This window comes from Homo sapiens, chromosome 20 (assembly GCF_000001405.40).
Source record: "Homo sapiens chromosome 20, GRCh38.p14 Primary Assembly".
Classification (NCBI taxonomy): Eukaryota; Metazoa; Chordata; class Mammalia; order Primates; family Hominidae; genus Homo; species Homo sapiens.
Window position 1 is genome coordinate 20,711,996 of NC_000020.11, and position 11,013 is coordinate 20,723,008.

At 43.2% G+C, this 11,013-nt stretch overlaps 1 protein-coding gene and 1 pseudogene across 18 annotated transcripts in view, besides 4 other annotated features; one reads left to right on the forward strand and one right to left on the reverse strand.

Annotated features, from left to right (window-relative positions):
* The window catches only part of RALGAPA2 (Ral GTPase activating protein catalytic subunit alpha 2), a 323,115-nt gene extending 322,466 nt beyond the window's left edge, over window positions 1-649 (reverse strand). For all 18 annotated transcript variants that reach the window (XR_007067471.1, XR_937111.3, XR_007067470.1 and 15 more), the window contains exon 1: window positions 380-649. Coding sequence is in view for 9 of the 18 variants with exons in the window: in XM_005260768.3 (XP_005260825.1) it covers window positions 380-485 (106 nt within the window). In the remaining 9 variants the exon portion in view is untranslated. The remainder of the gene's footprint in view (window positions 1-379) is intronic.
* Window positions 540-799: a silencer, noted in NCBI's record as "silent region_12712". NCBI's record gives its function as "represses an Ori minimal core promoter by ATAC-STARR-seq in GM12878 lymphoblastoid cells {active_cell/tissue: GM12878}" and the evidence as "EXISTENCE:reporter gene assay evidence [ECO:0000049][PMID:35858748]".
* Window positions 791-1,085: an enhancer, noted in NCBI's record as "tiled region #2040; HepG2 Activating DNase matched - State 1:Tss, and K562 Activating DNase unmatched - State 1:Tss". NCBI's record gives its function as "activates a minimal TATA promoter and a strong SV40 promoter by Sharpr-MPRA in HepG2 and K562 cells {active_cell/tissue: HepG2 | K562}" and the evidence as "EXISTENCE:reporter gene assay evidence [ECO:0000049][PMID:27701403]".
* Window positions 791-1,109: a biological region, named in NCBI's record as "Sharpr-MPRA regulatory region 2040".
* Window positions 910-1,109: an enhancer, noted in NCBI's record as "active region_17615". NCBI's record gives its function as "activates an Ori minimal core promoter by ATAC-STARR-seq in GM12878 lymphoblastoid cells {active_cell/tissue: GM12878}" and the evidence as "EXISTENCE:reporter gene assay evidence [ECO:0000049][PMID:35858748]".
* On the forward strand, window positions 9,192-9,884 carry LLPHP1 (LLPH pseudogene 1; annotated as a pseudogene).

Sequence of the window (11,013 nt, forward strand, 5' to 3'; positions counted from 1 at the left end):
TAAAATTTTAAAAATGAAAGGGGGAGGTGACAGTTCAATGTGTGCACGTGATGACCACTTGGGATCCAGTTCACTTGCTGGGAGGACAGGGGACAGGTACCTCTGTGCCCGGCCTCCAGGTTCTCCGGGAGCGCAGGCGCCCAGCGAGAATCTGGGCTAAGTTTAACTCGAGGGCGACGGGAGCAGTGCCCGAGGGCCAGGCTGCGGCTTTCTGGAAACAAAGCCCCGGGGGTCCAAGCCCAGATCCAGGGAAGGGGGTCGGACGCCCACCCATCCCCCTCCCCAGCCTCCCAGCCACCGACCCCTGCACAGAGGAGCGCCCTCCCGGCAGGTGCCCCTAACCCGGCGCCCCGACCCCCGCGCCCGGCGCGCGCCTCACCCAGCAGCGCCCGCAGGTGCTTCAGGCGGGTCAGCACGTCCTTCTTCGGGTCCAGCACCTTCTGGGTGGACTTCTTCACATCCCCGTGGCTCCTTCGGGAGAACATCCCGCGGCAGGAAGCCCGGGCCCCGCCGGCGGGGCAGTAGGCGCCTGCGCCACGCGAATCAAAGCATAGGGTCGAGGCCGGCGCGTGTCGCGCGGGCCACTCGCCGCCCCCAGCCCCGCTGCTGCCGCCGCCGCCGCCGCCGCCGCCGCCTCAGCTGTGTCTCCAGGAAGGAGGGGCGGGCCGGTCACGGCGAGGGGCGGGGCAGGAAGGCGGTGTCGACGGGGAACCGAAGGCCCCGCCCCGCGGGAGGTGCCGGCCGGCCCCTTGGGCGCTACGCACGCGCACACAGGCCGAACTCTCCTGGCGGGACACTAGCCCGTCCGCGCCAAAACCTAGCGGGGACGCGCTCAGAGGGCCGAGAAGGCGCCTCGAATCACAAAGGAGCTTCTCTCACGCACACGTTGTACTACAAGTCCCGAGATGCACCGCGAGACAGTCCTCCAATCAGGCTGGCGGTCTTCGGCACGATGGGAGTCAGTGGGCCGGCATTGGGCACGTCGCCCCGCCCTGCCGCGGGCCGCAAGTGCTCCTGGGAAATGAAGTTCTCCAGCAGGCGACGCGCTGCGACCTCTTTTCCAGGGTCGCAGAAGCGCAGGGCGGCCTCTGTCCGTCCCCTGCCCCGGCAGCCTAGATCGCCCGTGGTTTCACTCTCCCTCCTGCGCGCCCACCCCATTTTCCTCTAGTGCAACGTGAACCACACACGCCCAAAAATCTCAGTAAGAAAAGTGTCAAGGCTTTTCAAATGCAAACTATTTTTAGGTTTAGCTTCTGGATTCACACAAGGGAGCGAGTCGAAGCCCCTCTGACCGTGCCGAAATCGCAGCTCTAATTTCACACTAAAATGAGTTGCTTTGGCACTAGGGAAGAGCGTGCCCCGGTGAGGAGTTCAGCCGGCCCCTAGGTTCCTGGAACCCAACCTCACTTGGGGTATGGAGGTCGCTCGCTCAGAGGGCTCCTTGGGATCTTGCCTCTTTGTAGGAAGGGTGCGTTCTCTGTTGTGCAAGCCACATGGCGATCCAGTAGCAGAACCAGAAATAGAACCTGAGGGATCTGACTCAGGCCTGTATACTTTTTAAAGCCAGGCGCTTATTCCCTGGGGCAAGACTTTGAGCTGAAAGATGGTCAGGAGATTTCTTACACTGTAGGATTGTATAGTGGCATCCGAATCCTGCAAGTTTTGACATCCTTTCAGCTTTTTCAGCAAGTACTTAAGGTAGAATCACGTGGTTTCCATCCAAATTGGGACAACACAACTGTCTTTTTCTCCTCTAGCTGAACTGTAACTTGAGGGAAGAGACAAGGATTTACACGCCTTTGTATCCCCATCCCTCAGCACAGTATTTGGCCCATAGGGTCACTCAATAAAAGTTTATTAAATGAAATACAATAAAAAGCTAAAGTAGTCCTACATATTTCAACCAGGCAGGCGAAAAGGAAAAAATAAATAAATAAACTCACAGTTTTAGAGCGTCTCTCTATTTTTAGATTTGTGTAATATTCCTTTGTATAGACACATTCATACAAAGGAATATTACTCAGCAATAAAAAAGAACAGACTACTGATAAACCCAATAACATGGATCACTCTCAGACCCGGAGATGAAAGCCCCATGCTCAAGATGATGGCAGAGCGGCCCTACCAGCCTGAGTCCCCAGATGATAACAGATCAGGACCACAAACTTCTAAAAGTGTAACAAGAGAGCAAAATAATGTCTTATCTTAAGTCAAGGCATTTTGAGAGTCTTCGTTACAGCAATTGAGCTTGTACCTGATTACACATAGTAAACCACAATGTTCACTGTCCAATTCCTTTAGGAGAAGATACTTTTCCTTACACTGATTGAAAAAATAGAATATACTTGTCTTAGGAAACTCCATTTTTTTAATTGCAAAGCAAGCTGCCATCATCATCAAACATTTATTGAGCACCTGCAATGTGTAAGGCATGATTCTAAACCCTGGAGATAAAAGATGTATAAGGTGCATCCTCCTGACCTCCAATGCTTCCAATCCAGTTAAGGAGGCTGAGCGATTAGATACATGTGGGAATAAATGACAGTGTACAGTGAACATGTGATACTATCAAGCTTGGTAATGCCAGAAACAGGCATCTGTGCATATAAATTCATCGCACCCATCATATCTAGCCTTTACCCAGTAATGAAAATGTAGAACTCCAATTCTTCTCTTAAAAAGGAAGAAACATATAGTATTATTATGTTGGTACTTTTTCACCCACTTGCATATTCCATATGGCTCTTCTTATTTTCTGTTGTTCTTTCTAAACTCGTTCCTGCTGGGCTGTGAACTCTTTGAGGGCTTCACTTGCTTTGCACTGAATTCTTTATCCCTGGAGTTATAGAGTGCCGAGTGTTATGCAGACATTAAGTGTTGTTGAATAAATGTCCTACAGTAATCAGCAAATAAGAATAATGAGATCAAAAGTTTAAAACTTGCAATGCAAATTAAAACTACTCTGAAATATCATTTGAATTAGAAAAAACAAGCAAACAAAAAACCTCTACAGAGACAAGGTGTGATAACACACTCTAGTCTGGTGGCAGAGCTATAGAAAACATAGCTGGTAGAAATGTTAGATGCTACAACTCTTATGGAAGGAAATTTGGCAAAAATAAATATTTGCCTTTTGACCCAGAATTTCAATTTCTTTTTTTCTTTTTTCTTTTTCTTTTTTTTTTTTTTTTTTTTGAGATGAAGTCTGGCTCTGTCACCCAGGCTGGAGTGCAGTGGAGCTATCTCGCCAGGTCCAAACGATTCTCCTGCCTCAGCCTCCCGATTAGCCGGGATTACAGGCGTGCGCAACCACGACTGGCTAATTTTTTTGTATTTTTAGTGGAGAGGGGGTTTTGTCATGTTGGCCAGGCTGGTCTTGAACATCTGACCTCAGGTGATCCATGGGCTTTGGCCTCCCATGTTTTGTTGTTTTTTTTTTTTTTTGACAGTCTTGCTCTGTCCCCCAGGCTGGAGTGCAGTGGTGTGATTTCAGCTCACTGCAACTTCTGCCTATCAGGTTCAAGCGATTCTCCTGCCTCAGCCTCCTGAGTAGCTGGAATTACAGGCATGTGCCACCATGCCTGGCTAATTTTTGTATTTTTAGTAGAGACAGAGTTTCACCATGTTGGCCAGGCTGCTCTTGAACGCCTGACCTCAAGTGATCCACGGGCCTCAGCCTCCCAGAATGCTGGGATTACAGGTGTGAACCACCACACCCAGCCAGAATTTTGACTTCTAGGAATCTACCCTGCAGATATTCTAATATATAACACTGGAAGGATTTAAAAAAAAACCTTAACATTAATGCCTACCTAAGTGGGATAGAGGATGAGGTGGAAAGGACTCAGTGTCCTCTCTGAGTATATCTTTTTATATTTTTTTCATTTTTGAACCATGTAAATGTTTTCCATATTCAAAAATTGAAACAGAAAAAGACAAGCCTGAAAATAAAAAATAAATGGAAAAAATAAAACTAACAATATATGTAATTGGTAGGATAACTCTATGGAGAAATAAATATAAAACCATGCATGGAAGTTTATTCCTTTCACCACTATTTATAATAGCCAATGTAGTGGGTTGAACAGTGCCCACCCTTCCCCCCAAAAAGATATGTCTATGTCCTAATCCCTGAAAACTGTGACTGAGACTTTATTTGGCAGAAGGATCTTTGCAAATATAATAAGATCCTCAGTTATCTGGGTAGACCCTAAATCCAATGACAAATGTGCTTGTAAGAAACAAAAGAAGTGAAAACATAGAAACAAAGGAGAAGGGCACATGAAGACCAAGGTAGAGATTGAGGTTATGGAGCCACAAACGAAAAGACCCTTATAGCCAAGAGAAACTGGAAGAGGCAAGAAAGGATTCTCCCTTGGAGTCTTCCAGAGGAAGCCCAACACCTTGATTTCAGACTTCAGGATTCCAGAACCGTGAGAAAATAAATTTCTGTTGTTTTAAGCCACGCAATTTGTGGTAATCTGTTGCAGCCACTCTAGAAAACGAGTATGACCAGATACCAGAGAGAACCCTGTGATTGTCTAACAAGGTACTTATATACACATACATCTATAAGTGGCTAATTTAATCCAGTTCATCCACACAGTGTAGCACTATGGAGTACTATGCAGCTGTTTAAAAATAATGGGAAAATTTCGCGTGTACTGACTTGACATAATTTTCCAGATACGTTGTTAAATATAAAAGGAACAGAATATTAAAAATTTTTTTTTCAAAAAGAAACACTGGAAGGATAAATAAAAAGCTAACATCAATTCCTACCTAAGTGGGATGGAGGATGAGGTGGAAAGGAATGAAACAGGGTCCTCTCTGAGTATACCTTTTTATATTTTTTTCACTTTTGAACCATATAAATGTTTTACATATTCAAAAATTAAAATAGAAAAAGACAAACCTGAAAATCAAAAATAAATGAAAAAATAAACCCAACCGTATATGTAATTGGTAGCATAACTATATAGAGAAAATAATTATTTCAAGTGATTTTTGAAAACAGTATTCTGATTGTACCTCCTTAGAGGGATGTATTCTAAGGGCAAAAAGATCTGCAAAGAATTAATAATTATTATTAAGAACCAAGATTTTCAGTGTAAGAGAAAGGAGATACAAAAATATCACATCAAAGAAAATGTGAAAACTCTGTAATACTAGATTTTACTTCAAATATCCATTTGAACTCATAATTTAAAAATACAGCATGTGTTGGCCAGGCGTGGTGGCTCACGCCTGTAATCCCAGCACTTTGGAAGGCCAAGGCAGGTGGCTGAGACTATCCTGGGCAAGATGGTGAAACCCTGTCTTTACTACAAATGCAAAAATTAGCTGGGCGTGGTGATGCATGCCTGTAATCTCAGCTACTGGGGAGACTGAGGCAGGAGAATCGTTTGAACCAGGGAGTTGGAGGTTGCAGTAAGCCGAGATGGCACCACTGCACTCAGTCTGGTGACAAAGCGAGACTCCATCTCAAAAAAAAAAAAAAAAAAAACTAAACAAAAACAAACAAACAAATGTCATACATGAATGAAATGAATGAATAAAAAGAAGGCCATACATTCTTTTCTATTTGCTGGACGCAGTGGCCCACACCTGTAACCCCAGCACTTTGGGAGGCCGAGGCAGACGGATCACTTGAGGTCAGGAGTTCGAGATCAGCCTGGCCAACATGGTGAAACCCTGTCTCTACTAAAAATACAAAAGTTAGCTGGGTGTGGTGGCAGGCACCTGTAATCCCAGCTACTTGGGAGGCTGAGGCTGGATTGCTTGAACTGAGAGTCAGAGGTTGCAGTGAGCCAAGAACACGCCAGGGCACTCCAGCCTGGGCCACAGAGCAAGACTTCATCTAAAAAAAAAAAAAAGAAAAGAAAAAGAAAAAAAACAGATATGCAGTTGTCCAACAATATTTATAAAAAGACTTTTTTTTTTTTTTTTGAGATGGAGTCTTGCTCTGTAGCCCAGGCTGGAGTGCAGTGGCACATCTCGGCTCACTGCAAGCTCCTCCTCCTGGGTTCATGCCATTCTCCTGCCTCAGCCTCCCAAGTAGCTGGGACTACAGGCGCCGGCCACCATGCCCGGCTAATTTTTGTTTTTTTAGTAGAGACGGAGTTTCACTGTGTTAGCCAGGATGGTCTCGATCTCCTGACCTCGTGATCCATCCGCCTTGGCCTCCCAAAGTGCTGGGATTATAGGCGTGAGCCACCGCACCCGGCCTATAAAAAGACTTTCTTTCCCACATTGAATTAACTTGGAGCATTGGTCAGTTATCAATCAACCGTGTACGTATCTATTTCTGGATTCTCTGTTCTGTTTCATTGATCCAGTTGTTTAATCCTAGACCATTACCCCTCTGTCTTAAGCTTTATTGAAAGTCTTGATTTCAGGTAATGTATATTATCTTTGTTCAAGATTATTTTGGGTATCTAGGTCCTCTCCAATTCCATATAAATTTTAGAATCAGTTTGCCTATTTCCTTAAAAAAAAAAATCTGCTGTGTGTTCTTGTTCTTCTAATCTCTGTAAGTGCTAGAAGCAATCATCCCCAGTGGTAATGGAATATTGGTTTCCAAATACCATTCTCCATCCTAAGTAATCAGGTTCTTTTTTTTTTTAATGAATTAATTTTTAAAAAAAGTAGAGAGAGGGTTTTGTCATGTTGCCCAGACTGGTCTCGAACTCCTGGACTCAAGCAATCTGCACACCTCGGCCTCTCAAAATGCTAGGATTACAGGCGTGAGCCAGCACACACACAGCCATAATCAGAGTTCTTTAGAAAAATGGCTGATTCCAGGTCTGGGGCAAGGAAAATACAGGGAATACATAAAAAACTGTACTCAAAGGTCAACGGGAAAGACTCAAAACAAAGGAGTCTATGGCCAAATGTGGGATAATTTGATCGTCAAAAAGAATAATGACTGTGATTGATTATAAATAAAAATTCAGTCCTGGCATGATGGCTCATGCCAGTAATCCCAACACTTTGGGAGCCTGAGGCAAGAAGATAACTTGAGCCCAGGAGTTTGAGACTGAACTGGACAACATAGGAAGACCCTGTGTCTCCATAAAATAAAATTTTTAAATGTAATAAATACATAAATAAAAATTCAGGAATCTATAATGATATTCAAAAGACTTTTTTTTTTTTTTGAGACTGTGTCTTGCTCTGTTGCCCAGGCTGGAGTGCAGTGGTACGATCTCGGCTCACTGCAAGCTCAGCCTTCCGGGTTCACACCATTCTCTCGCCTCAGCCTCCTGAGTAGCTGGGACTACAGGCACCCACCACCACGCCCGGCTAATTTTGTTTTTTTTTTGTATTTTTAGTAGAGACAGGGTTTCACTGTGTTAGCCAGGATGGTCTCGATCTCCTGACCTCATGATCCACCCACCTCGGCCTCCCAAAGTCCTGGAATTACAGGCATGAGCCACTGTGCCTGGCCTCAAAAGATTTTTTTAATGTACTAGGTAAATATTTCAAGCAAAGGACATTTCTTACACCTTTGTTGATTTCAGCAGACTTTCATCTGGCTAAAATCTTTTCTCAGTAACAAGTTGGAAACTTGATCTGAACTGGGTGTGTACTTTAAGGTCCTAATCAGCCAGGCACAGTGACTCACACCAACACTTTGAGAGACTGAGGTAGGAGGATCATTTGAGCTCAGGAGTTCAAGACCAGACTGGGTAATATAGTGAGACCCCATCTCTACAAAAAAAAATTTAAAATTTAAAAAATTAGCCACTTGGGAGGCTGAGGCAGGTGGATTGCTTGAGCCTGAGGTGCAGTGAGCCATGATCCCACCACTGCACACCAGACTGGGTGACAGAGCAAGACCCTGTCTCAAAATAAATAAATAAATAAATAAAAGCAACAAAGAAAAAGAAAAAAGTTCCTAACCACAGGACAATGCAGAGATCTGTCATCCTCTCTCTTCATCACATACCAGAGAAGCATCATGCTTTCCTGATAACACCAAATTGGATTTGATCTTTCAGGAAAACAGTAAACATGACAAAGTAAGCAAAATGGGATGAGAGATCAAGAAGGCCTCAATTCATTAATCAATTCTTCCATTTATTCATCAATAAACTCATCAATATCTGATGTTGTCTGGAGTAAAATTTCAGATTTTTTGTTTTTGTGTATAAATTCAAACCAATGAAGAGTTATTGAACAAATGCCATAGCTAAATTGTGATGACCATAGTTTTGCATTTTCCCATTCTTTTCTATTGTACTGAAAAAATGGTCTTTCAGGGCCCTATGTGACAACTGCAACTTGGGTAATCTTTGAGATTAAATATTTATCAAACAACTCTACAATTCATTGTTGCCAGGCTTGCGCCCATCACAGCACCAGAGTCAACACTCAATCAATAATTGCTGAATGAAAAAATTCATTCACTTACTTGCTCATTAATATCTCAGTATTGTAATTAGGGAATTACAGTTCAGTACAATGTTTTCAAATTAATTAAAGTTTTATGCACCTAAATTTTAAAATTCTACTCTTCTTTTCCTAGAACTTTTTCTAAAATATGCCTTGGGCTTCCTGTCTGCTTAAGCAAATTCGTCATTTGTGAAACCATAATTTATCCTTCCCCTCCCCACTCCACCCCCCTCTGTCTTTTTATAAATTGTTGTTACTACTTGCAACAAGGGAGAAATGCCTGGTAGGCCCTCCCCATCTAATGTCAACCATCTCTTTCCCAAACACTCAATCACTGCTATCACAGACAATTTGTTTGCCTTTTTAACTTCAATAATTGGAATCATTCTAGATGCACAGAATTTCAAGCACTGTAGTTTCCAGATAACCTAAAAGTTACTGGATGGGGCACAGTGGCTCATGTCTGTAATCCCAGCACTTTGGGAGCCTGAGGCAGAAGATCACTTGAAACCAGGAATTCAAGACCAGCCTGGACAATTTAGCAAGACTCCATGTGTACAAAAAAATGAAAAATTAGTTGGGCAAGGTAGCATGTACCTGTAGTCCTAGTTACTGGAGAGGCTGAGGTGGGAGGATCACTTGAGTCCAGGACTTTGAGGGTGCACTGAGGTATGATCGTGCCACTGCACTCCAGCCTGGGTGACAGAGCAAAAATCTTGTCTCTAAAAAAAAAAATATAAAAATAATTTAAAAGATCTTGTGGCATGTGTGTTTGTGAGTTTCTCAGGTAAAACATAGCTAAAAGCATACAGAGTAAGTGGAAAAGAAAGACGCAGGCTGAAAAGAGAAAAAAGAATGTCCCAGAGGAGTTCAGCAGGCTTAAAAATATTCTCCAAGTAGACAGTGATGTCTTAATGAAAGACGTTTAAGGATAGCAACTGTGGTGGTGTCCAAACATTGACCTAGGCTGGGTGCAGTGGCTCAGGCCTGTAATCCCAGCACTTTAGGAGGCCAAGGTGGGAGGATTACTCGAGGCCAGGAGTTAGAGACCAGCCTGGGCAACATGGCAAGACCCTGTCCCTACAAAAAGTTAAGAGAATTAGCTGGGTGTGGTGGCACGCTCCTGTAGTCCCAGTTACCAGAAGTCTGAAGAAGGAGGATCACCTGAGCCCAGGAGTTCAAGGCTGCAGTGAACGATGGTGGCGCCACTGCACTCCAGCCTGAGTGATCGTGTCTCAAAAAAGAAAGAAAGAGAGAGAGAGGAGAAAAGAAAAGAAAGAAAGAAAATGCACTGTCAGCTAAAAGATGAAAAAGAGGACATGAAAATGGAAACTGAGATTAAGAGAAACAAAAAGACTTCTAGACCAGAATGGACAGTACCCAATATGGATTAACCAAAGGCAAAGAAAAAGGACAAAGGCAAAGCAAGATAAAAGAAAGGGGAAAAGCAAACCAAATGCAGTGAAGGCAGAGAAGGGTTTGGCCTGGTAGACCCTTAAAAACTTGGGGCTGGGGCCAGGCGCCATAGCTCATGCCTGTAATCACAACACTTTGGGAGGCCTAGGCAGGCAGATTGCTTTGAGCTCAGGAGTTAGAGACCAACCTGGGCAACATGGTGAAAACCCATCTCTACAAAAAATTACAAAATAAATTAGCCAGTCTTGGTGATGCACGCCTGTAGTCCCAGCTACTTGGGAGGCTGAGGCAGGAGAATCGCTTGAACCCAGGAGGCAGAGATTGCAGTGAGTTGAGATCGTGCCACTGCACTCCAGCCTGGGTGACAGAGCAAGATCCTATTCTAAAACAAATAAACAAAAATTTGGAAAATGCCATGAGACAGATGATTGAGGAGAATGTATACAAATGCATACTTTGATTTCAGCTCCCACCAAATGAAAACCATTTCTTTTCATATTTTAACTTGGCCTTTTTTATTGAATTCAAACCCAATGTAACTCCTCAAGTTTGTTTTGGGAACTTGAATAAAATATTATCTTTGGCACATGAAAATCACATTGATATTTTAATTGGATGCTACTCAGTATTCAGGTATCAAGCATCAAAATTCTGTCAAGTATTAATGTGGTTGTAATTGTCCTTACAACTAAGTAATTATAGTCAGGAAACATAAAACAATGATATACTGACAAATTTTCTTAACTCAGATTTAAAGAAAGCTGTTATGTAAGCATATCAGTTATTATAAAAAGCATAAAATTTATAAAAATATAACATTTTGGGAGGCCGAGGCAGACAGATCACTTGAGGTCAGGAGTTCAAGACCAACCTGCCCAACATGATGAAACCCTGTCTCTACTAAAAATACAAAAATTAGCCGGGCATGGTGGCACATGCCTATAATCCCAGCTACTCAGGAGGCTGAGGCAGGAGAATCGCTTGAACCCAGGAGGTGGAGGTTGCAGTGAGCTGAGATCGTGCCACTGCATTCCAGTCTCGGTGACAGGGCGAGACTCAATCTCAAAAAATAATAATAATAATAATATAACATTAGTGGATCTTATAAACAATGCTTGTGTGGGGTTTTGATTCTGTATAATTCAGAATAAAAGATATTTTGTGTATAAAAATAAATTTTAAAAATACATTAAAAGTTAC